The sequence below is a fragment of the Homo sapiens genome, chromosome 1 (genome assembly GCF_000001405.40).
Source record: "Homo sapiens chromosome 1, GRCh38.p14 Primary Assembly".
Lineage (NCBI taxonomy): Eukaryota > Metazoa > Chordata > Mammalia > Primates > Hominidae > Homo > Homo sapiens.
The window spans coordinates 173,850,781-173,873,466 of NC_000001.11; the positions used below are offsets into that span (position 1 = coordinate 173,850,781).

Sequence of the window (22,686 nt, forward strand, 5' to 3'; positions counted from 1 at the left end):
TTTTAGTAGAGACAGGGTTTCACCATGTTGCCCAGACTGGTCTCAAACTCCTCAGCTTAGGCAGTCCACCCGCCGCAGCCTCCTGAAGTGCTAGGATTACAGGCGTGAGCCACCGTGCCCAGCCTGCATAAATCTTATAGTGCTTTATAATGCACTGTATAAAAACTTAAGGGTTGGCCGGGCATGGTGGCTAACGCCTGTAATCCCAGCACTTTGGGAGGCCGAGGTGGGTGGATCGCCTGAGGTCAGGAGTTTGAGACCAGCCTGTTCAACGTGGTGAAACATCATCTCTACTAAAAATACAAAAATTAGCTGGGTGTGGTGGCGGGCTAATTTTTGTATTTTGTAGTCCCAGTTCCTCGGGAGGCTGAGGCAGGAGAATCACTTCAACCTGGGAGGGGGAGGTTGCAGTGAGCCGAGATTGTGCCACTGCACTCCAGCCTGGCTGACAGAGCCAGACTCCGTCTCAAAAAAAAAAAAAAAAGGGTTTTTTTTCATAGCTACCAGCCTCCATTGGCATTACTTAAATAGATTAGACCTGACCCTAATTAGAAAAGCCACTTAGATTAAGGGGTAGTGAAATTAGTCATATAACCATGAAAAAATATTTTCAGTGTCAAGATTTCACAAATGAAGAAAATTAGGAGTCTCAAATTTTTATACATCATGCATTCGTAAATTGTGGAGGGACGGATCAGACCACTGGCGAGCTGGAGGGCTGGCAGACACCCCTGGACCAACTTGGTCAAAGTGGGACCCTTTTTCCTCAAGAACAGCAGCTGTAGGTGATGAGTGCCATCATGCACTGGCTGAGTCATGATTCTTCAGGGGATATGGAAGACTGAATTAGCTTTAGGGATCTTTGTAAAATATAGAAAAGTATAGTACAAAGTCAAATATGAATATTAAAAATGTACTGTAAAGATCAAGCATGATATAAATTTATTTTTTCACTTTAGTATATAGTTTTTTCAAAATGATAGTGTGTCTAACTAGTACTTCATCAAGTTCTTTCTTCTAATCTATATTTTCATTTGTCATTGTTTCTTCCACAGAAAAAGTTTCAGAGTTCAGCTTCAAAGCTAAATGTAATCCCCCGTCTCCCCTTCCCCTACAATAGTAAAATGAAGAAAGCTATTTATTTCCAAATTTTATTATGAATGCATTTCTTAAAAAAGAACATGGGATTTTGTTCCTAACTAATTTGGCTATTAAACCTTCTCTTGGTATGAACTAAACATGCTGGTGTTTCATTCTCAGGAAGTTATAGGTCTGATTCCTACAAGGCCTTCCTTGAAAGAGAGCTAGAAACCAGACTTTCGAGGAATAACATTAACATTCTGAAAATGTCACAATGAAGGTCCGTTATGTAGACGTAAATGTAAGATAGAATGGGCTGCAAAATAATACCCTATCATGTCTCTAGGCATATGTCACTGTTCTAACCAGCTGTCCTTTCTCAGGGAAGTCCTGCATACCATAGGTAGCACTTATTAAGCACTTAGTATTTGCCAAGCCCGTTCTAAGCACTTTGTATACATTAACTCATTTAATCCTCATGCCAACCCTATGAAAGAAGTTCTGATACTGTTGCTATTTTAAAAATAAGAAAAGTGAGTCACAGAGCTTAAAATTTTGCTCACAGTCACACAGCTAGGAAGTGGAGGAGCCGGATTTCTAACCCATGAAGTTGGGTTCCAAAATTCACACTCTTATTTTTTTTTATTTTTTATTTTTTTTTGAGATGGTCTCACTCTGTTGCCCAGGCTGGAGTACAGTGGTGTGATCTCAGCTCACTGCAACCTCTGCCTCCTCCCGGGTTCAAGCGATTTTCCTGCCTCAGCCTCCCGAGTAGCTAGGATTACAAGTGCATGCCACCACGCCCGGCTAATTTTTGTATTTTTAGTAGTGACGGGGTTTCACCATGTTGGTCAGGCTGATCTAGAACCCCTGACCTTGTGATCCGCCCGCCTCGGCCTCCCAAAGTGCTGGGATTACAGGTGTGAGCCACTGCACCCCTCCGCACTCTTAAATGGACCTCTAATCTGCATTACCTATAGTGATAGCCAGCCTTCACTGAACATTAACAGTGTGCCAGGCACTTACCAAATCCTCACCACAACCCTTCAAGAGAAGTGAGGAAATAATCAGAACGACTACCACTCACATACTTTGTCAGGTCCTGCACCTTATGTATATTATCTTAAGCTTCACAGCAGTCTTTTGGAGTTGATATTTTTATCCCAATTTTACAATGAAAAAGGGTACAGAGAAGTTCGTAATTAGCCACACTGAGATTCAGACCCAGGTCTATGAAGTGCTGATCCCTGTGTTCTTAATCACCGAGTTATCAGTACTCACCCAGTTGGTTGAGTGTGATGATTGTTCTCAACCTTGTTGCAATTAGACTTATCCTCAGATCTTTGTGTCCTGAGAAGCAAAGGGCATCCTATCTGTTAATTGGCTAATCCTTTCCTAGAGAATGGCCTGGCTTCGGAATCCAGGCTGTGTCATTTCCTGCCTGCTCTGTCAAGAAGTTAACTCAATGTTTACGTCTTCTGTTTGCAGTGCTCTTTGTTAGGAAAATTACGACTGGAATGTGCTGACCTTCTAGAAACAAGAGGAGTGGTGCTCCGTGACCCCACTCTGTTCTCTTTCCTTTGGGTGGTAGATTTCCCACTCTTCCTGCCCAAGGAGGAAAATCCCAGAGAGCTGGAATCGGCCCACCACCCATTTACTGCTCCCCACCCCAGTGACATACATCTCCTGTACACTGAGCCCAAAAAGGTACCGTATCTATACTTCCAAATCAAAAGGAAATGTGTATATAAAGGCAAAGAACTTCAGACTTCAAGGTCTGATGAAAGATAGGACCCAGTTCTGGAAGCCCCAGAAGAAATTGTGGAGTTTGAGTTAGTAGTAATACATTGTCTTTAAAAATCTACAGGGTCTTCAACCCGTAGAACAGAAAACCAGACATTTTCTCTAACATAAAGTATCTGTGAATCTTCTAGGCCCGTAGCCAACACTATGACTTGGTTTTAAATGGCAATGAAATAGGAGGTGGTTCAATTCGAATTCACAATGCAGAGCTGCAGCGTTATATCCTGGCAACCTTACTAAAGGTAACAAACATCATCTGCTATCCTGGGCTTATTTTTTTACCAGAATATTTTTCAGTTTTGTGTTGTTGTTGTTGTTTGCTTGTTTGTTTTGTTTTTGAGACATTCTGTCACCCAGGCAGGTGTCTACTGGTGCATTCATAGCTCACTGCAATCTCAGTCTCCTGTGCTTAAGCCATCCTCCCACCTCAGCCTCCCAAGTAGCTGTGACTACAGGCACATGCCACCATGCCCGGCAAATTTTTTTATTTTTTTGAAGAGATAAGATTTCCCTATGTTGCTCACACTGCTCTCAAACTCCTGCCCTCAAGCACTCCTCCTGCCTCGGCCTCCCAAAGTGCTGGGATTATAGGCATGAACCACTGCATCTGACTTAAATCAGCCTATTTTATTAAACATTTGTTATGATTGGAGGATTCACAAGATACAAAATAGCATCAGCTATCTCTCTACCTTTAATGTAGGACTTGGAAAAGTAAATAATAATATTAAAAGTAAATAATAATATTAAATGCTTAAATAGTATCTGGCACATAGCACTATTAAACAGTACTATTTAAATACTAATTAATAGTGCATATTAAATACCCTTATTATAATAGTGCAGATAAATATCCTTATTCTGCCCACTCTAAAGATGAGATTTACTGAGGCAACTTACTTAACTTGCCAAAGTGACAGTACAAAAGTAAGCAGAGTCAGGATTTGAATCCAGGTGAGGTGGCTCTTAAGCCCATGCTCCTAACCACTACCCTGCTTAAAAAAACCATGCAGCTTGAAAAAATAAAAATCAAATCAAATGAAAACCATGCAGTCTGAAGTGACTAAAAATGTTGATAATGTTAGAGAAAGAGAGAGAAGTTTGAAAAGATTTTATATCACTTATTAGATACTACTTTAGCTATATTTAAGGCAGGGATATATTTTAGTGATAGTGGAGTAATCAGGATTTTTTAAAAGTAAAAGAAGAGTCTGTACAGGTGCAGACCTAAGAATTTGAAGTTTGTTGGTGATGCTGTAGAAGGCTTGGGTAGGTTTCAGAAAGGAAAAGGTCTGAGAGAGTCTGGTCCTAAAAGATCGTTTTGTGGGATTAACTGACAAGTGTGAGGTAGGATGGAAGGAGAACTCAGACCATGAGATGACTCCTTTAGCTTTAAGCCTTCAGAGTCCTTAAAGTTTAAGGGCATTGTGAAATCTGTTAACTTTTTTTTTTTTTTTTGAGACAGAGTCTTGCTCTGTCGCCCAGGCTGGAGTGCAGTGGCTCAATCTTGGCTCACTGCAACCTCCGCCGCCTGGGTTCAAGCAATTCTTCTGCCTCAGCCTCCTGAGTAGCTGGGATTACACGTGCGCACTAACACACCCGGCTATTTTGTATTTTTAGTAGAGACAGAGTTTCACCATGTTGGCCGGGCTGGTCTCGAACTCCTGACCTCAAGAGATCCACCCGCCTTGGCCTCCCAAAGTCCTGGGATTACAGGCGTGAGCCACCGCACCCAGCCGAAATCTGTTAACTTTTCTCCTGCCAATTCAAAGCCTCCAATCACCCATTGGGTTTTGTGTGTTTGTTTGTTTGTTTGATTTTAAAAAGATGGAGTCTCACTCTGTCACCCAGGCTAGAGTGCAATGGCATGATCATAACTTAGGGCAGCCTCAAACTCCTGGGATCAAGCGATCCTCCTGCCCAGCCCAGCTTCCAGTCAGCAGTTTTCAGCCTTTTTCATTCCTCTCATTGTCAAACTTTTCAAGAGTCACTAAGAATACATTACTTTTTTCTTTTTCTCGCTTTGTCACCCAGACTGGAGTGCAGTGGCGTGATCTTGGTTCACTGCAACCTCCGCCTCCCAGGTTGAAGTGATTCTCCTGCCTTAGCCTCCCGAGTGGCTGGGACCACAGGCACACACCATCACGCCCAGCATTTTTTTTTTTTTTTGTATTTTTAGTAGATACAGCATTTTGCCATGTTGGCCAGGCTAGTCTTGAACCCCCAATCTCAGGTGATCTGCCTGCATCGGCCTCCCAAAGTGCTGGGATTACAGGTGTGAGCCACCACACCTGGCCTAGAATACATTACTTCTGTTGCTTCCCTAAATAGTGGTTCTCAGCCCTGCTGCACCTTACAATCAAATCACCTGGAAAGCATTAAAAAAAACACTGGTGCCTTGGCTACACATCAGACCAACTGAATAAAAGAGTTCTAAGCATAAGGCTTTGGCCTCTGTTTGTTTGAAGCTTCCCACTTGATCCTGATTTGTAGCCTGGTTGGAGAACCATTTCCAAACACACTTTCAACATTTCTACATGTACTGCCCCACAAAAGTTACTCACAAGATCACTAAATCCAGTGGCCTGTTCTTGGCCCTTAAGTTCTCCTTCCTCCCGGCAGCATTTGACAATGTTGCCCACTTAGTAATGCTCTCTTCCCTTGGTCTCTGTGACAGGAGAGTTTCCTGCTTTTTATCCCCACCTCCTCATTTGGTCTCACTCTGTTTGCATTGTGAATACAGTAAAAGCTGCATTTACTGAACACCAGGCATTTTTGTACATGTTATAATCATCTATGACTTGTCTTTTTCCCTTACTAACCTGCAAATCACTTAAGGTAATTTTTTCTTTACACTTTTCCAATAAACTTTTATTATTGGTTAAGTCAGTTTTAGCTGTTTTAAAACTCAACTTTGTTTCCCCTTTATCATCTAAGCCTAGATGGTGGCACTTAGTGGACCTTCAAAATATATTTAAACTGAATTATCTTTTGAATTTCAGGAGGATGTGAAAATGCTCTCCCATCTGCTCCAGGCTTTAGATTATGGGGCACCCCCTCATGGAGGAATTGCCTTAGGTAAACAACTTTTCCTTTTATAAGATAAACTGAATTCCATTGCACTGTCTCAAATTCAGGTTCTCAGTTTGTGTTGGTAGAGGTGGAAGGATGAGTCCAAGAGTTCCATGAGAATGTAAGTTTCTGTTGAAATTTCAGTAATATATTTTTTAAATATATCTTAACAGTTATAAAGATATAACTTAACTGATAATTTGCATTTGAAAGATCATTAATAGCTTAAAACTGCAGATCTTAAGTCAATATTGTTCAAATCCCCATGGCCTCACATACGCACTCATTGGAGTCTGGAAAGCACTGCTCCATAATGTTCAGCTTGTATGAAAACAGGAAGATGCCAGTGTCCTTCTGATTGCCATGGTTACTCACTTTGCTTGTTTTGTCAAAGCAAGGAAGAGTAAGAAATTCTAGGAAGCTCACCTAGATTGTAGGCCCCAACAACAGGGACTTCCTTCTGTGTTTATGGAGTTCCCTGCCAAGCACCAAATACACTGTTGAATCTGTTTTAGGGCCTTTAGTAAGCCTTTACTAGGAACACTAATCGCTGTGACAATCCAAGTAGCATGTGAACATTAGTCCTGAATACTTTTCCAGAATGAGATAGAAAAGAACCTCTCAAACAAACAAAAGTTCTCTAAAAAGGTAGGGAACGATGGTTGGCTACAGTTTGTTAAAGATTCTTATTTAAAAGTTTTCTACAACTTTTATAGAAAAACTAAGTTATTTCCAACATTAGATTACATTTCTCATCTGTTATCTTTGTATTTTACTCACAGGGTTAGACAGACTGATATGCCTTGTCACTGGATCTCCAAGCATCAGAGATGTCATAGCCTTCCCAAAGTCCTTCCGGGGACATGACCTCATGAGCAATACCCCAGATTCTGTCCCTCCTGAGGAACTGAAGCCCTATCATATCCGAGTCTCCAAGCCAACAGACTCCAAAGCAGAAAGAGCTCATTGAATCATGCATACCATGCAGAAAGTTGAGCTTTTAGGTTTTGTCCTCTTTGCTTCCCCAAGGCTAAAGTCAGATCTAGAGTTCTGCCACAGGTCTAACAATCAAGTCTTTAGATGGAAGGAATCCAGGCAACATTCTTCACCACAACGAAGAAACAGATAAAAGATACCCAATTTTGACTTGATTTCATGCATCATTTGGATTTTTTTTGGTTAGGACTTTTTTTGAAGTTCCTTTTTACTTAGGTGTGAAAGATGGTTCTTTGTTGAAATAATATAGTGGTTTAGTGTTTTCAAATCATGTTTCTCATACCCAGATAGTAGATTATTCACTTAGGACAGAGGTAATCAAATTATGTGTGAAATGTAGGAAAATGCTTGCCCCTGTAAACTAGTGAGTTGATGGAGCATTTGCTTCATCATCCTCATCAAGAGAATCATATAAATTAAGCTTTATAATGACATTTCAACCATCAACATAATATAGTGAGGAGTAGCATAATATTTTTTAATAATGCAGAAAACATCACTGAAATGAGAGTCACAAATTTTTCTTCAGTGTTTCAGCCTGAGTAAGTTACATAAACCTCGCTTAGCCTCCCTTCCTGCTAATGTGTAAAATACATACTTGCCCTGGCTACCTCACCGGGCTGTTATTGCTGGAATCAGAGGAGATAACATATATGGAAGATAAAGTGAATAAAAGTACTTTGAAAAACTATAAAGCATTCCACAAATATGAGATGATGGTATTATCCATCCATAAATAGGTAGATATATCTCTATTTTATAGTTTCAGATTAAACAAAACTGATATCAATAGTAAAAGTCATTTTACTTATCAATTTTCTGTTTTTTTTTTTAGTTTTAAAGATATTATTGGCCGGGAGTGGTGGCTCACACCTGTAATCCCAGCACTTTGGGAGATTGAGGTGGGTGGATCACTTGAGGTCAGGAGTTCAACACCAGCCTGGCCAACATAGTGAAACCGTCTCTACTAAAAACACAAAAATTAGCCAGGCATGGTGGCGCATGCCTGTAATCGCAGCCACTCGGGAGGCTGAGGCATGAGGTTTGCTTGAACCTGGGAGATGGAGGTTGCAGTGAGCCAAGATGGTGCCATTACACTCCAGCCTGGGTGACAGAGCAAGACTCCATCTCAAAAAAAAAAAGACAACAAAGATATTATTAATCACTGAACACTATTTTCTCTCAATTATAAGTAATTGAAAATTCTAATCAACCTTAGATTAACCTCAAATGTGCGAAAAAGTGAACACCAAAACTCATTGTGATTTTAAGTTCTAATCATACACATAAAAGTTTTAATAAACTAATAATTATAAAATGAGGCCGGGTACAGTGGCTCACGCCTATAATCCCAGCACTTTGGGAGGCTGAGGCAGACAGATCACAAGGTCAAGAGACTGAGACCATCCTGGCCAACATGGTGAAACCCCATCTCTACTAAAAATACAAAAATTAGCTGGGTGTGGTGGCACATACCTGTAGTCCCAGCTACTCAGGAGGCTGAGGCAGGAGAATCACTTGAACCCAGGAGGTGGAGATTGCAGTGAGCCGAGGTTACACCACTGCACTCCAGCCTGGCAACAGAACAAGACTCCATTTCAAAAAAAGACAAAATGAGAACAAGGTCTTGATCAGTGATTTTGAAATTGTTTTCTTCTACTCAGTCTTCACTTCTGCCTTGAAATTCTTTTGATTTATACCTTTTTTTTTTTTGAGACAGAGTCTCGCTCTTTTGCCCAGGTTAGAGTGCAGTGGCACCATCTTGGCTCACTGCAACCTCCACCTCCTGGGTTCAAGTGATTCTCCTGCCTCAGCCTCCTATTTAATTAATTAATAATTGATTTAATGATTTAGTTTAAAATGTTAAATTCATTTTAAAATAACCCATTACATGTTAACACAAATAGCATGTTTTTATTTTATTTTATTTTGAGACAGAGTCTCACTCTGTTGCCCAGGCTGGAGTGCAATGGTGCGATCTTGGCTCACTTCATCCTCCACCTCCCGGGTTCAGGCAGTTTTCCTGCCTCAGCCTCCTGAGTAGTTGGGACCACAGGTGCCCTCCACCACACCTGGTTAATTTTTGTATTTTTAGTAGAGACGAGGTTTTGCCATGTTGACCAGGCTGGTCTCAAGCTCCTGGCCTCAGGTGATCCGCCTGCCTCAGCCTCCCAAAGTTCTGGGATTACAAAGGCGTGAGCCACCACACTCAGCCATGTTTTTATTTTAAAAATAATTATTTTCAAAAAAAAAATAGAAGAGTAACATTGTTTTATATTTCTGCAAATATTTTTTATTTCTGGCTTAATAGAAGACACTAGATTCTGATATCTGCTTCTGTATCCTATCTGTTGTTATATGCTGTTTTGGTTGAAGTCTGTGAAGAAAATCTGACCCCACTCATATATAAAGTTGGAAAAGGGAGGAGTATTTTAATAGCTTTGTCTGATAATTATGGATACTCTCTTTGATACCACACCAAAATATGACAAGTAGTAGAGTTCCTTAAAGGCTAGTTGCAATGTGGATTCTGAAATCGTATTGATGAGCTTTTCTAAAGTCCATTGGTGTACCTTGTATTTAAATAGAACTTTTACCTATGTGTGATATTTGTAACACCAGTCCAGTGATTGATCATTTGGAAAATATTGGTTCACTGAGTTATGCAAATCTTCCAAATGTTGACACATTTTGATATACAATATCTAAAACAAAATACCATTAATTAATATTACCACCAATCCCATTACAAAAGTCTAAGTCTGAGGAAGCTATAAGGGCACAGAAGTGTATACAAGCCTTCCAAAATTTTAGGTTTCATTTGGAAGCTTGAGTTTTATCATTGGCAACAAATGCCATCAGTTTTTTCCAAGCTGACTTGTTCTTTTTTGAGCAAATCTCTGCCAAAATTACCCCTAAAATATGAATAATCAATTTGTCAGGTTTTTTCAAACTAAAAATGTTCTGTGAAAACAAGCAGCTAGTTCAGCTTGTATCTCAAACAATTGTAACTACTTTTTCTAGGGAAAAAAAAATCTAGACATCCATACTTTATGGCAGATGTGCTTCATGCATACTTCCCATTTTGTCACACAGAATATCAAAATAACGTGTACTCAAGGTCAAGATTTACTAACAACTAAAATTCCAAAACTGCTAAACAACAGAATGCTGAATAAGGTGATCCAATTTTTAATATTTTATTTGAGACAACATCTCACCCTGTCACCCAGGCTGGAATCCAGTGGTGTGACACAGCTCACTGCATCCTCAACCTCCTGGGCTCAAGCGATCGTCCCACCTCAGTCTCATGAGTGGTTGGGACTACAGGCATGCACCATCATGCCCGGCTCACTTTTTTTTTCTTTTTTTTTTTAATTGTAGACACAGGGTCTCACTATGTTGCCCAGGCCGGTCTTGAACTCCTGGACTCAAGCAATCCCCCCACCTTGGTTTCCCAAAGTGTTGGGATTACAGGCATGAGCTACTACATACAACTGAAATCTTTTAATATGCTTGTCAAAAAGTTTTCTGATTCAGCAAATGGCACTTATATATAAAAGAGAGAACAAGAAGCTGGATGCGGTGGCTCACGCCTGTAATCCCAGCACTTTGGGAGGCTAGGTGGGCAGATCACGAGGTCAGGAGTTCGAGACCAGCCTGGCCAACGTGGTGAAACCCCCTCTCTACTAAAAATACAAAAATAGCCAGGCATGGTGGCCCACGCCTGTAATCCCAGCTACTTGGAAGGCTGAGGCAGGAGAATCGCTTGAACCTGGGAGGTGGAGGTTGCAGTGAGCCAAGATTGCGCCGCTACATTCCAGCCTGGGCAACACGAGCGAAACTCCGTCTCAAAAAAAAAAAAAAAAAGAATAGAACTTGGCTGGATGCAGTGGCTCACACCTGTAATCCCAGCACTTTGGGAGGGCAGGGCAGTTGGATCACTTGAGGCCAGGAGTTCAAGACTAGCCTGGCTGACATGGTGAAACTCCATCTCTACTAAAAATACAGAAAAAAAAATTAGCTGGGAGTGGTGGCACACACCTGTCATCCCAGCTACTCAGGTAGTTGAGGCACAACAATCACTTGAGCCTAGGAGGCCCAGGCTGGAGTGAGGTGGCACGATCTTGGTTCACTGCAACCTCCACCTCCAGGGTTCAGAGTAGCTGGGACTACAGGCCCACACTACCACACCCGGCTAATTTTCGCTTTTTTTCAGTAGAGACCGGGTTTTGCCATGTTGGCCAGGCTGGTCTCGAAGCCTGAGCCATAACCTGGCGAAAAGATACTTTGAAATGTAACATCGTTTTTCACTTCAAAATCAAGGTATTTTACCAACTTGTCTTTGGTACCTCCCCAAAAACTGATCTACTACATTTGCAGTTTCATTCATTTTTCCAACATTAAGGAATAAACTTGAAGCGCTTACATTCTTGTGGGGGAAGTAAGAACAAAACACATAATAGGTCATGGTGGTCACATGAAAAGTAAAGGGTAACCGATTGGGGTAGGTGGTGGTAGTTTTGTGTGTGTGTTTTTTTTTGAGACCAAGTCTCGCCGTTGCCCAGGCTGGAGTGCGGTGGCATGATCTCAGTTCACTGCAACCTCCACTTCCTAGGTTCAAGCAATTCTCCTGCCTCAGCCTCCTGAGTAGCTGGGATTACAGGTGCACGCCACACCTGGCTAACTTTTGTATTTTTAGTAGAGATGGGGGTTTCACTATGTTGGTCAGGCTGGTCTCAAACTCCTGACCGTGTGATCCACCCGCCTCGGCCTCCCAAAGTGGTGGGATTACAGGCATGAACCACCACGCCCAGCCTTCTTTTTTCCTTTGAGAAAGTCTCACCCTGGCACCCAGGCTGGAGTGCAGTGGCAGGATCACGGGTCACTGCAACCTCAGCCTCCCAGGTTCAGTTCCCCTGCCTCAGCCTCCCGAATAGCTGGGACTACAATAGCCCACCACTACACCCGGCTAGATTTTTGTATTTTTAGTAGAGATGGGGTTTCACCATATTGGCCAGGTTGGTCTTGAAATCCTGACCTCAGGTAATCTGCCCACCTCAGCACCCAGCCAGGTGGTGGTAGTTGTTTTACAGCCTGTGTGAGACATTCGGGTGAGCCCCAGGAAATGAAAGAATGTGCTTATTTGGGGGAGGGGGAGGCCTTTTTTCTTAGACAAAATTGGGCATTCCCAACTTACACGCATTTAGTGCATAAGCTGACATTTCAATGAGATTGTGAAATGACAATGGGAAGGGCCCTGAAAAAAACATCAAGCATAAAAGGCCTGGGAGGCCGGGCACTGCGGCTCAGGCCTGTGAAATCCCAGCACTTTGGGAGGATGGGGTTTCGTCTCTACTAAAAATACCAAAATGAGTTGGTTGTGATGGTAGGTGCCTATAGTCCTAGCTACAAGAGGCTGAAGAGAATCGCTTGAACCCGGGAGGTAGAGGTTGCAGTGAGCAGCGGTTGAGATCATGCCATTGCACTCCAGCCTGGGCAACAGGATTCAGTCTCAAAAAAAGGAAAATTCAGAGAGTAACTGAAGTTTTATCATTAATGGGACTAAAGTGCTTTAGCCCAGAAACAGATTTGTAAAACCATTACTGCTAACAAAGACATCATTATAAGCACAGCTGTACTGACACTGAAATTAAAATTTGACCCATCTTGGAATTTTGGCCCCTTGGTCCTGTTTCCCTGGGACAGATTGCCTTAAACCAGTTGTGCCCTTTATACCCACTTTTGGCATCCCTAAACACTTAGTGCTTGCCAAAAACCTATCACCATGGCTATGGATTGTAGATTTTCCCAATTCCATTAATGCCTATCACTAGTTGGGCATTTCTATAGTATTTTCTATAACTTATTTTCCCAGCCTCAGACTCAACATGACTTTCTCCAAGTAGCTCCATCAATACTTTAAGCTCAAAACCAATTAGCACAGGGGCCTATGAAACCTGACAATTTGCTCATATGGAGAATTAGGAAATATTGCACTTTAATGCATAAGACACCTTGTAAAATACCCATAAAATTTTAACTGGCTGCAGTGTTAATGAAGCAAATACCATGGAGTTATAATAGCTTTTGAATGTGATTTATGCTTACAGCTAATGAACAGATGAAAAGCACTGTCCTTTTTTAAGTAAACACTACACACTCCAGATGGATTGCAAAAATTTATTAAAATTGGAGACACTGTTTTAATCTTCTTGTGCCATGAGACTCCATCAGGCAGTCTACAAAGACCACTGGGAGGCTGAGGATCACTTGAGCCCAGAAGTTTGAGGCTGTAGTAAGCTTCAAAGGCCACTGCACTCTAGCTTGGGTGAGGCAAGACCCTGTCTCAAAAAATAAGACAAGACTTTTAGCCACATTTACAGACTTCAATTAAAATGCTACATGGGAATGCAGAATATCAGATATTTTATTGTCATCAAGTAATCAGTGAGAGAGTTCAAGTTGGATTGAGATCATCATGTATTCTGCAATTATAATAGTCCCAACATTTCCAATCCTCACCTTTCAAGCAGTAAGCTGCATGCTTGCTTGTTGTGGTCATTAAAAACCCTGAAAGCGAAGCCAACATATTAATCAGGGCAAAATACAAATGTGTGATGCTTGTTAGTAGAGTAACCTCAGAATCAAAATGGAACGGTTTTACAGTGATATCATTATATTTCATTTGGCAGAATCATTACATCATTGGTTACACTGAAAATCATCACATGTACCAAAAGCTGACTCACCTAGTTTAGGATAACAGGTCTGCCTGTTTGAAGATGAAAAATAATACCCATTTAAAATTTGCCCTACTCAATTTCCTTCTCAGTCACATTTTAACTTTTAAACAGCTAATCACTCCCATCTACAGATTAAGGTGTATATGCCACCAAAACCTTTTGCCACCTTAAAAATTTCCTTCAAAGTTTAAACTAACCTGCATTTCTTCAATCATGAATTCTGAGTCCTGAAATTAAGGGACAATACACAGTAAGACAACTTGCATACAATTAGGAGTAATCCAAAATCTCCAAACATTATAGAATGGCTATATTCCCCTTTTCGGGGCATAAACTAGAATGTTACCGCCAGATACATCAGATAGGAGCGAAAGACTTAATATTGCTCATCAGCGTTAGTCTGCTGAACTATGTTATCATCATTGTATCGGCTTTACAACACTTAAAAACCAGACTTGAGGCGGGGCATGGTGGCTCACGCCTGTAATCCCAGCACTTTGGGAGGTCAGTGCGGGCAGTATCACTTGAGGTCAAGAGTTCGAGACCAGCCTGGACAACATAGCTGTACAAAATTAGCCAGGCATGGTGTCACATGCCTGTAATCCCAGCTACTCAAGAGGCTGAGGCAGGAGAATTCCTTGAACCTGGGAGGCAGAGGTTGCAGTGAACTGATAGTGCCGCTGCACTCCATTCTGGGCAAGAGCTAGACTCTTGTCTAAAAAAAAAAAAAAAATACTTGGAACTGCTATACCTTTGCTTCTTTAAAACTTGCTCCACACAGTGTAGTCAAGCCGACTCTCCATACCTGTAGAAATTTAATCTCCTTTACCAATAGGTAGTAATAGGTGGATTTCTAAAAGATTTCCCAACTACTGTTTCAGTTTAAGATTAATCTCCATTTTCTTTCTCAGAGAGATTCCCATCTGCTTTAATTTTAAAATCATCACTAACAGTAGCTCAATCAATTAACGTTAACATCAATAAAACATGTACCTTTAAAAGGTATGACAGGAACTGTCTTCATGTCCTTACCCAAGCAAGTCATCCATGGATAAAAACGTTACCAGGAGCTGGAATACAAATGAGGACTTCCATTAAAATGCTAAACATCATTAAACTCTTTTCAAAGTTGTCTGTCACAGGGTTCTTCAGTGTTACCTTTGTCTACATGCTCATTTCAGGTCAGACATTTGATCAACATCATTACACAAACCCCGTTCCAAACATGCTCAAGGAAAACACATAAACACTGTTCCAGACATGCTCAAGGAAAATACAGTCAGTATTCATCAGCCAAGCCTTAAGCCATTAGCTCAGCAGTAAGCATATCACCATCAGCATTTTCATTAAGTCTATCTACTGTTTTCATTAATACTTACCAGAACCATTAAGCTGGTCCAGGCAAGTTGGACTCCACCTAAGAAATAAGAGTGGTCTTAGAATAGCCACAGATGAGTGTTCACCCCCTGCCAAAACTAACAAATGCCTTTAGTCAGTTAGAGCTAATTAAGACCTTCATGTTCAGTCAGCATTTGCTTATCATCATCCAGGCTGCATTTACAAACTTTCTTATTAATCATAACAAGACAAGAATCCGCCATTTATTTAATGCATTCAGCACTAGGAGGTAACTAAAAAGCCATTTGTGCCGTAGGAAGTTTGCCCAGTTACCTGCTTACTTGGATACAGTTTCACTTACCATTTCAACTTCCAGCTTTCTGTCTAATGCCTGTAATTTTAATACAAAATTGTCAGCAAAAAATATTTTAATGGTAGATTGGTGGTACACTGCTTAACCATTAACAGCAAACCACAACTACCCCAGATACATCAGACAGATAGTACATCTCTTCATGATTAAATCTGCTGAACTATGCAACCATCATAGTATCTGTTTTCACATTTTCTTCAGTATTAAACTTAGTATCAATATGAGAGCAAAATTCTCATTTGAAAAGAGGGGAGAGAAGCACTAACATAGATAATCATCATTGCTTTGGCTATTTTCTAATCCCTTAAAAGTGAGAAGTACAAAATAGAGGTGTCTCACCTGTGTGCCAATGGCTTGAGTTAGGCTTGCTCTTTAGGACCTGGGAAGAAACAACTTCATGTGAACTTAGGTGTACTCTCTATGTTCCCCAACTCACCATTTTGGGTGCCTCAGTTAAGATAATGGTGGTTAAGATCCTCATCATTCTAGCACTCAAGAGTAGCAAATAAACTGTCATCATTGTGGCACATCCAATGGCTTTAAACCTTTTTGAGAGGGAATTTTCAACTTACTTCAGTAGCTATTCTCATCCTTCCTTGGGGACACAACTAGAAAACAAAAAGATGCAAGCAAAACAGTGAGAATGAACCTCACAGCAGTCACGTTAAATATAAATGCTGTTAACATTAAAGCCTCAGAATAGAATTTCAGAAATCCCTTCTGTCCACTACTCTTAAAGCATCACAGGCTGAGACCACCTCTTAGATTTCATTCTTCCCACCATACTTTCCCCAATTCTTACCTGTCCATAAGGTGCTATCCAGAGCCACACTGCATCTGCACCCAGCACCATACCTAAAGAGATCAGGTACAGATTTTAATTCATTGTTCCACGGTTCTTTTTTTTAAAGAGTGTTCTTTAAAAAAACGGTTCGTCTTTTTAAACCAATGATGCAGGTAACATACCATTCATTATCTAGCGACAGGTAAAGGATACACTTAATGTTACAAAGAAGCACTGCACCCGCAGTTAAGAACCACCGATGGCGGCCGGGCGCGGTGGCTCACGGCTTGTAATCCCAGTATGTTGGGGGACCACGGCTGGTGGATCACCTGAGGTCAGGAGTTCAAGACCAGTCTCGCCAACATGGTGAAACCCCGTCTCTACTAAAAATATAAAAGCCTAGCATGGTGGCGCGCGCCTGTAGTCCCAGTTACTTGGGAGGCTGAGGCAGAACTGCTTAACTCGGGACGCGGAGGTTGCCATTAACCGATGTCGAGCCACTGCATTCCAGCCTGGGTGACAGAACGAGGCTCGGTCTCAAAAAAGAAAAAAGAAACACTAATGGAAATATTGGTGACACTGCGGAATGCAGGCACTTAAGCACGTGGACTACCACCGACAGCCTTTCATGAGAGCGGACGGCTGATGGAGGCTCGGGTCACGGCCCTTAACAATAGCTTACTCGGGTGACTCGGCATGTGCCACCATCAGAGCGGTTGGCATTCATCATTACTCTCAGATGTCCCTACCAACACAGGCTTCATCAGAGGCAGGGCACGAGAGCCGAGGCTTCTCCGCAGTTCTACTCTAACATAGTCGCAGCTTAGGTCACGCATGCACCATATGTGCAATCCCCCACCATCCTCAACTTGTAGGCCCTGCAAAGGCGCGCGACTGGCTTAGAAGTCCCAGTCAATTCAGGGTGACCTTAGCAGACAAAGGCTGGAGCGCCCCAAAACCCGCAACATTCGCAAAGATAAAACATACCTCACAGGAGTCGACTCCTACCTCGAAAAGACAGTATGGTGCCTGGGCTCCTGTATATAAGAGTTCTTTTGATGACGTCACGACGCACGCTCCCGGCAGCGTCCGCTTCGGCTCCTCCCCCTAACCTCCCTCAATCTTCCTCTCATCCAGTATCACCTTCTTCCCACCCCTTAAGTCCGCCCCTTTTCCCCGCCCTTCCTCGCCATTGTGGGCAGAGACATGACCGTCCACGTGATGCCGTGCTCCCGCCCTCCTCCCGACTGAGGAGGAAGAGCAGAGAGGGGAGGGGGCGCGAGGCAAGGAAAGCTCTGGGGATGGGGGAAGGGGGGGCGGTGTAAGGCTGAGTGATTTCCTTCCGGCACGTCGCCCGCTCCGTGGGAGGGGGTGGGGGATTTCACTTCCGGGACGGTGTTCCGGCCCATTCCGGCCCATTTCCACCCCCGGAGGTAGGTGCTGCTCCTTGACTGGACTCGGGCCCCACACCCCAGTGCCACTTCCCTGCACCGGGGTCACCTCGCCCGCCCTCCGCCGCAGCGCGCTCCTGGGGCGCTCAGCTACTTTCCTTCACCCCGCCTCCAGGCACCGGGCGACCTTCCACCCCCTTGGCCCCCGGCCGGGCTGATCTGCCGGACCCGCCCCCTCGCGGGGCCCCTCCCTCAGGACCCCGGGAAGGGCGGCCCCCTCCCCCACCGCAGCCGGGACACACCCAGATACGCACACCCACCTCCTGGCAGCTCCCCGCCCGCCGCCGCCTGGAGCCGGTCCCTGGGCGCCGCCCCCTTCCTAGTTCTCACCTGAGCGCTGGCTCCCCCGCCCGACGCCTTGTCCCCATCTTCTCCGAAGTTCCTCAGTGACATTTTGCCCTTTAGCCAGTTCCCCTCTCCCCAGGCTTCCTAACGCAGAAGAAAGCTGCTCAAGTGCTGGAGTGGCCAACCCCATGCCGTTCCCAATTCTCCCTTTTACAGCTCTCACCCCTCCAGTGCCGACGGTAGCGAAAGACTTTCCTCCAGGGGCTTCCTCACTGGGGAATTGCCGGAAAGAGCAAACAAAAAAGGCGCTGGTGTAGGCTCCAAAATAAACACATCTGAATTCATGATGGCATCGACAGAGGCTCTTATTGGATTAAAAGTTTCAAAACAAACAATAACGCTTTGGAAAAAGGTCAGATTGGCTAAAGTTGATTGTTGAAAACAGTGTATACACTTCCCTATTTAATAAGTGTGTTGTTAATGCGGGGCAGTACTGTGAGCTTGGCAGAGTAAGTTCCTGAAGTTTCAGGTGTGGTGTAACTATGTAATATATAGATAAGTGAACGCACATTGGGCTTAAGTAAATGTCTTCCTGTTCGGATTTATACAAACTATTTTCAGTAGTTGAAACTGTACTTTCAACTATCTTGTATACAGCTTCAGGTTTAGTGTTTCAGCCATTTTTTAAAAATATTTTAATGGAAAAATGTTGGCATACTTGGTAAATGCTGTATTTTTTCATCGGATCTGGAGAACTAAGTTTCAGGATGGAAGTATTCATCACCACCTCGGAATTGCCAACTTCGAATTTGGCAGATTTACCCAGCTTTCCTAATTTTGACAACTGAACTTCACATTCTCTGCATCTTGGTTGAATCCTGGCACAGCTGTGGGATTTTTCCTAGAGTTTGCTTCACAGCCCTATAACCAAAGTCTTTTTGTGGGGGGGGCTCTGATTCTTAAGCTTAGAAATATTAGCCTACATTCATGTGGGATATTAGTCCTTTTATAAAATAATAAACATAATTCTTGCAGCAGGTAGTAAAATACTAAGAAGAGGGATATCAAGCTATGTAGAATTGCATTTATTCAGAAAGCTTTCCTCCTCCAGAGAAAAGTTGTAAAGTTATGAGATGTTATATTCAGTCTGCAAGTACCTTATAGTTAACACTTAAAAGTCCTTCCCCCTACCTTCTGTTGAACTTCTGTTTTGATGTTATATAACTTATTAGTAAGGAAAGCATGGTCATAACATGAATTTTTAGGAGTCTAAAGATCACTTTTTAGTTTTAACTATGTCCTCCTGTGAAACTTAAACTGAAAAACCTGTTGGTGATTCTGTTTCCACATCTAAATATAAGGAAGGTATTTCTTTTATCTGGAGATTTTGAAACTTTACCAGATAACTATGTTTAAATACTTTTGAAATGGAAACCATCCGGGAAGTAAAATTATAATTATTAATGAGAATATGGTTTCTTTTTTCAGCAGGGTTGAATGCACCCTCAGGCACGACCATGGAGAAAGGTGGGAACATACAATTGGAGATTCCTGACTTCAGCAACTCTGTCCTGAGCCATCTAAACCAGTTGCGCATGCAGGGCCGTCTCTGTGATATTGTGGTCAATGTGCAAGGACAAGCTTTTCGGGCTCACAAAGTGGTGCTGGCTGCCAGCTCCCCCTATTTCCGGGATCACATGTCCTTGAATGAGATGAGTACAGTCTCCATTTCAGTCATCAAGAACCCTACTGTTTTTGAACAGCTCCTTTCTTTCTGTTACACAGGGCGGATATGCCTGCAACTGGCAGATATCATCAGCTACCTAACAGCTGCCAGTTTTCTGCAAATGCAGCATATTATAGACAAATGTACACAGATCCTGGAGGGCATTCATTTCAAAATTAATGTGGCTGAGGTTGAAGCAGAATTAAGTCAAACAAGGACAAAGCATCAAGAGAGACCTCCAGAGTCTCACAGGGTTACACCAAATCTCAACCGCTCCCTTAGCCCACGACATAATACCCCAAAGGGAAACCGGCGAGGTCAGGTTAGTGCTGTGCTGGATATCAGAGAGCTAAGTCCTCCTGAGGAGTCCACCAGCCCTCAGATCATTGAACCAAGTTCTGATGTAGAGAGCCGGGAGCCCATTCTTCGGATCAACCGAGCAGGACAGTGGTATGTGGAGACAGGAGTGGCGGACCGTGGGGGTCGGAGTGATGATGAAGTTAGAGTTCTTGGAGCAGTACACATCAAAACTGAAAATCTGGAGGAGTGGCTTGGGCCTGAGAATCAGCCTTCTGGAGAAGATGGGAGTAGTGCAGAGGAAGTAACAGCCATGGTGATTGATACCACAGGCCATGGTTCTGTAGGACAGGAAAATTATACTTTAGGGTCTTCAGGAGCCAAGGTGGCTCGGCCAACAAGCAGTGAAGTTGACAGGTAGGTTTGGTTTGGTTTGGTTTTCCCATGTAATGGCTATTGTGTAGACATCACTAAAGTGTCCTCTGTAGTACAGAGAGCATTTTCCTTACCTGATTTTCTTGGTCAAAATAAGTTGATGATGGGGAAACTGGAGGTGTGCCAAAAGACTTGCATTCTTATTTTTTTAAACCAGGAAGCTCCATTCCTGAAGTATTCACAATGTTGTGAGAACTGTGGTAAAGTTAGACACTTCCGTGAATCAGAATAGCATCTGCAGCCACACTAGGATAGGATCAGTAATTGCCAGGGCTTCCTCGGGATTCGAGGCAGGGAGCCGATCATCAGCTGGGAACCTAGCAGCATTGCCCTTCCTTGGTGTGTTATCACACAGGTAGGTGGCCTCCAGGAGTCTCACTTTCCTTTGTAGCACTGCTTGCTTTTCTTTGCCCCCAACTACCAAATTAGAGGAAGTATGGTACCAGCAGTAATTGTTCTTTTCAAATTAGTAAAATAGTAATTCTGAAGAAAAGCGTTATGGATATTTTTCATCTCTTTTTTCCCTTGTCACGTGATGGTATCTTCCCTGTTTTCTTTCATGGATGACTGCTGCTACCACAGGCCTGACAATCTCCCTTTTTTTCACCAGTGCTGCTATGCCCCATGCCTCACTTTTCTCTTTTAATACATTGTATTTATTAGACATTTCTTTTTGGTGGAAATACCATGGGTTTCAGTCAATTGAGAGAAAGTCTCAATTGAAAGAAATATTACTAATTTAGATTGGTAATATTTGTTCTTTTTCCCTCTTAAAAATAAATTTAAATTGACTATATGAGCAAAGAAAACTAAAAAACTATTACTTTGGTCTTGAGAAACAAATGTATCACAGAGATTCAGTTAGTGTATACTGTATCCACTTCAGGTGGTCTTTTTATTTTATTTTATTTATTTTATTTGAGACGGAGTCTCGCTGTGTCGTCCAGGCTGGAGTGCAGTGGTGCGATCTCGGCTCACTGCAAGCTCTGCCTCCCAGGTTCACACCATTCTTCTGCCTCAGCCTCCCGAGTAGCTGGGACTACAGGTCCCTGCCCCCATGCTCAGCTAATTTTTGTGTGTGTGTTTTTAGTAGAGATGGGGTTTTACCATGCTAGCCAGGATGGTCTCGATCTCCTGACCTCGTGACCCACCTGCCTCAGCCTCCCAGAGTGCTGGGATTACAGGTGTGAGCCACTGCGCCCGGCCTTATTTTATTTTATTTTTGAGATGAAGTCTCACTCTGTTGCCCAGGTTAGAGTGCAGTGGTGCAATCTTGGCTCACTGCAGCCTCTACCTCTTGGGTTCAGGCGTTTCTCCTGCCACTGTGCCTGGCTTCAGGTGATCTTGATTTGAGTATTGTCTTCCTGTGTCCTTATTAAAATAATCTTGAGCATAGAACTTGTCCTCCTATGTTAGAACTGTATCAGAAGTTCTCGGGTGATGGGTGCACCAAAATCTCACAAATCACCAAAGAACTTACTTATGTAACCAGATACCACCTGTTCCATGATAACTTATGGAAATAAAATTTTAAAAAAAACTATCAGAAGTAATATCAGGGCCAGGTGTGGTGGCTCACACCTGTGATCCCAGCACTTTGGGAGGCTGAGGCAGGTGGATCACTTGAGGCCAGGACTTTGAGACCAGCCTGGCCAACATGGTGAATCCCATCTCTACTAAAAATACAAAAATTAGCTGAGCGTGGTGGCACGCACCTGTAGTCTCAGCTACTGGGCCAGCTGAGGCAGGAGAATCGCTTGAACCCAGGAAGTGGAGGTTGCAGTTAGCTGGGATCACGCCACTGTACTCCAGCCTGGGCAACAGAGCAAGACTCTGTCTCAAAAAAAAAAAAAAAGTAATATCAATTTCAATGCAAAGATTTTTTAATCTCCATGATCTATATCAATAGTCTAAAATACAGATTATTATGGGACCTTGGGGAAGAAACAGCCAAAAACCTGGTAATTACGTAGAAGAAACAAAATTATAGGCCCCGTTTTAATTTATTCTTTTATGGTCTCCCAGTATTTATATAAGGAAGAAAGCTTATATTTAGCTTTAGCTTCACCAGCTCATATGTTCTATCTGTTATGTCATTTTGTGTTTATTAAATTTACTAGGGCTAACCTATTATTTCAAATCAGATTATGTATTAACTCCACAAAACTATTCCTCAGTTATTTGTTGCTTGGTTTGTTCCCCCTTCCTCAGCCATAGAATAAAGAGGGGCGACATCACCATTTTTCAGGTTCTTTGATGCTGCTTTTGTATTAGTCCCCTTTATGTTCCTCTTCCAACAG

General features: G+C 42.6%; 2 protein-coding genes, 2 long non-coding RNA genes and 11 other non-coding genes across 78 annotated transcripts in view, besides 9 other annotated features; 3 read left to right on the forward strand and 12 right to left on the reverse strand.

Moving 5' to 3' along the window:
• The window catches only part of DARS2 (aspartyl-tRNA synthetase 2, mitochondrial), a 33,874-nt gene extending 26,108 nt beyond the window's left edge, over nucleotides 1-7,766 (forward strand). For 2 of the 3 annotated variants that reach the window (NM_018122.5, NM_001365212.1), the window contains 4 exons: nucleotides 2,569-2,787; nucleotides 3,015-3,125; nucleotides 5,886-5,961; nucleotides 6,738-7,766. In NM_018122.5, the coding sequence (NP_060592.2) occupies nucleotides 2,569-2,787; nucleotides 3,015-3,125; nucleotides 5,886-5,961; nucleotides 6,738-6,925 (594 nt within the window). In that variant the 3' untranslated portion in view covers nucleotides 6,926-7,766. Of the gene's footprint in view, nucleotides 1-1,055; nucleotides 1,239-2,568; nucleotides 2,788-3,014; nucleotides 3,126-5,885; nucleotides 5,962-6,737 lie in introns of those variants that run through there. The other variant, NM_001365213.2, reaches the window with a different exon arrangement.
• Nucleotides 1,362-2,264: an enhancer, noted in NCBI's record as "OCT4-NANOG-H3K27ac hESC enhancer chr1:173821280-173822182 (GRCh37/hg19 assembly coordinates)". NCBI's record gives its function as "activates a minimal SCP1, AML or CMV promoter by ChIP-STARR-seq in naive H9 embryonic stem cells {active_cell/tissue: H9 hESC(naive)}" and the evidence as "EXISTENCE:reporter gene assay evidence [ECO:0000049][PMID:30033119]".
• Nucleotides 10,134-10,850: an enhancer, noted in NCBI's record as "H3K27ac hESC enhancer chr1:173830052-173830768 (GRCh37/hg19 assembly coordinates)". NCBI's record gives its function as "activates a minimal SCP1, AML or CMV promoter by ChIP-STARR-seq in naive H9 embryonic stem cells {active_cell/tissue: H9 hESC(naive)}" and the evidence as "EXISTENCE:reporter gene assay evidence [ECO:0000049][PMID:30033119]".
• Nucleotides 10,621-10,771: a silencer, noted in NCBI's record as "fragment chr1:173830539-173830689 (GRCh37/hg19 assembly coordinates)". NCBI's record gives its function as "represses an EF-1alpha promoter that drives an FKBP-Casp9 reporter gene in an ReSE screen in K562 erythroleukemia cells {active_cell/tissue: K562}" and the evidence as "EXISTENCE:reporter gene assay evidence [ECO:0000049][PMID:32094911]".
• Nucleotides 10,851-11,567: an enhancer, noted in NCBI's record as "H3K27ac hESC enhancer chr1:173830769-173831485 (GRCh37/hg19 assembly coordinates)". NCBI's record gives its function as "activates a minimal SCP1, AML or CMV promoter by ChIP-STARR-seq in primed H9 embryonic stem cells {active_cell/tissue: H9 hESC(primed)}" and the evidence as "EXISTENCE:reporter gene assay evidence [ECO:0000049][PMID:30033119]".
• Nucleotides 11,819-11,948: a silencer, noted in NCBI's record as "silent region_1556". NCBI's record gives its function as "represses an Ori minimal core promoter by ATAC-STARR-seq in GM12878 lymphoblastoid cells {active_cell/tissue: GM12878}" and the evidence as "EXISTENCE:reporter gene assay evidence [ECO:0000049][PMID:35858748]".
• Nucleotides 12,468-13,161, forward strand: GAS5-AS1 (GAS5 antisense RNA 1). Its single transcript, NR_037605.1, has one exon. It is a non-coding gene; the product is annotated as a GAS5 antisense RNA 1 (long non-coding RNA).
• On the reverse strand, nucleotides 13,121-18,265 carry GAS5 (growth arrest specific 5). 50 transcript variants are annotated; one of them, NR_186289.1, is made up of 14 exons: nucleotides 18,152-18,265; nucleotides 17,974-18,072; nucleotides 17,201-17,229; nucleotides 16,211-16,263; nucleotides 15,981-16,016; nucleotides 15,748-15,787; nucleotides 15,397-15,426; nucleotides 15,077-15,114; nucleotides 14,691-14,767; nucleotides 14,449-14,502; nucleotides 13,895-13,924; nucleotides 13,704-13,726; nucleotides 13,477-13,524; nucleotides 13,121-13,295 (listed from the first exon to the last, which is right to left on the reverse strand). It is a non-coding gene; the product is annotated as a growth arrest specific 5 (long non-coding RNA). The 50 variants fall into 50 exon arrangements; NR_152521.2 differs by having other exon boundaries at nucleotides 14,730-14,767; nucleotides 17,974-18,265; NR_186290.1 differs by having other exon boundaries at nucleotides 14,730-14,767; nucleotides 17,180-17,229; nucleotides 17,974-18,265.
• Nucleotides 13,366-13,442, reverse strand: SNORD81 (small nucleolar RNA, C/D box 81). The gene has a single exon (NR_003938.2). It is a non-coding gene; the product is annotated as a small nucleolar RNA, C/D box 81 (small nucleolar RNA).
• Nucleotides 13,589-13,665, reverse strand: SNORD47 (small nucleolar RNA, C/D box 47). The gene has a single exon (NR_002746.1). It is a non-coding gene; the product is annotated as a small nucleolar RNA, C/D box 47 (small nucleolar RNA).
• On the reverse strand, nucleotides 14,053-14,123 carry SNORD80 (small nucleolar RNA, C/D box 80). Its single transcript, NR_003940.1, has one exon. It is a non-coding gene; the product is annotated as a small nucleolar RNA, C/D box 80 (small nucleolar RNA).
• SNORD79 (small nucleolar RNA, C/D box 79) lies at nucleotides 14,570-14,650 on the reverse strand. The gene is given in 1 exon segment (NR_003939.1): nucleotides 14,570-14,650. It is a non-coding gene; the product is annotated as a small nucleolar RNA, C/D box 79 (small nucleolar RNA).
• Nucleotides 14,842-14,906, reverse strand: SNORD78 (small nucleolar RNA, C/D box 78). Its single transcript, NR_003944.2, has one exon. It is a non-coding gene; the product is annotated as a small nucleolar RNA, C/D box 78 (small nucleolar RNA).
• On the reverse strand, nucleotides 15,188-15,248 carry SNORD44 (small nucleolar RNA, C/D box 44). The gene has a single exon (NR_002750.2). It is a non-coding gene; the product is annotated as a small nucleolar RNA, C/D box 44 (small nucleolar RNA).
• Nucleotides 15,425-15,510, reverse strand: SNORA103 (small nucleolar RNA, H/ACA box 103). Its single transcript, NR_132783.1, has one exon. It is a non-coding gene; the product is annotated as a small nucleolar RNA, H/ACA box 103 (small nucleolar RNA).
• SNORD77 (small nucleolar RNA, C/D box 77) lies at nucleotides 15,521-15,590 on the reverse strand. The gene has a single exon (NR_003943.2). It is a non-coding gene; the product is annotated as a small nucleolar RNA, C/D box 77 (small nucleolar RNA).
• Nucleotides 15,855-15,935, reverse strand: SNORD76 (small nucleolar RNA, C/D box 76). The gene has a single exon (NR_003942.1). It is a non-coding gene; the product is annotated as a small nucleolar RNA, C/D box 76 (small nucleolar RNA).
• On the reverse strand, nucleotides 16,099-16,158 carry SNORD75 (small nucleolar RNA, C/D box 75). The gene has a single exon (NR_003941.1). It is a non-coding gene; the product is annotated as a small nucleolar RNA, C/D box 75 (small nucleolar RNA).
• Nucleotides 16,894-16,965, reverse strand: SNORD74 (small nucleolar RNA, C/D box 74). Its single transcript, NR_002579.1, is given in 1 exon segment — nucleotides 16,894-16,965. It is a non-coding gene; the product is annotated as a small nucleolar RNA, C/D box 74 (small nucleolar RNA).
• Nucleotides 17,302-22,686, forward strand: part of ZBTB37 (zinc finger and BTB domain containing 37) — a 35,466-nt gene continuing 30,081 nt past the window's right edge. For 4 of the 13 annotated variants that reach the window (NM_032522.5, NM_001122770.3, XM_011510062.4 and 1 more), the window contains exons 1-3: nucleotides 17,600-17,625; nucleotides 18,145-18,340; nucleotides 19,420-20,368. In NM_032522.5, the coding sequence (NP_115911.1) occupies nucleotides 19,446-20,368 (923 nt within the window). In that variant the 5' untranslated portion in view covers nucleotides 17,600-17,625; nucleotides 18,145-18,340; nucleotides 19,420-19,445. Of the gene's footprint in view, nucleotides 17,476-17,599; nucleotides 17,626-18,144; nucleotides 18,341-19,416; nucleotides 20,373-22,686 lie in introns of those variants that run through there. The other 9 variants (NM_001395199.1, XM_017002557.2, NM_001395201.1 and 6 more) reach the window with 5 other exon arrangements.
• Nucleotides 17,635-18,044: a silencer, noted in NCBI's record as "silent region_1557". NCBI's record gives its function as "represses an Ori minimal core promoter by ATAC-STARR-seq in GM12878 lymphoblastoid cells {active_cell/tissue: GM12878}" and the evidence as "EXISTENCE:reporter gene assay evidence [ECO:0000049][PMID:35858748]".
• Nucleotides 17,635-18,878: a biological region, named in NCBI's record as "BRD4-independent group 4 enhancer GRCh37_chr1:173837597-173838796".
• Nucleotides 17,679-18,878: an enhancer, noted in NCBI's record as "BRD4-independent group 4 enhancer chr1:173837597-173838796 (GRCh37/hg19 assembly coordinates)". NCBI's record gives its function as "activates an origin of replication core promoter dependent on BRD2, P300/CBP, MED14 and CDK7 cofactors, and independent of BRD4, by STARR-seq in HCT116 cells {active_cell/tissue: HCT116}" and the evidence as "EXISTENCE:reporter gene assay evidence [ECO:0000049][PMID:35650434]".
• Nucleotides 19,393-19,492: an enhancer, noted in NCBI's record as "active region_2118". NCBI's record gives its function as "activates an Ori minimal core promoter by ATAC-STARR-seq in GM12878 lymphoblastoid cells {active_cell/tissue: GM12878}" and the evidence as "EXISTENCE:reporter gene assay evidence [ECO:0000049][PMID:35858748]".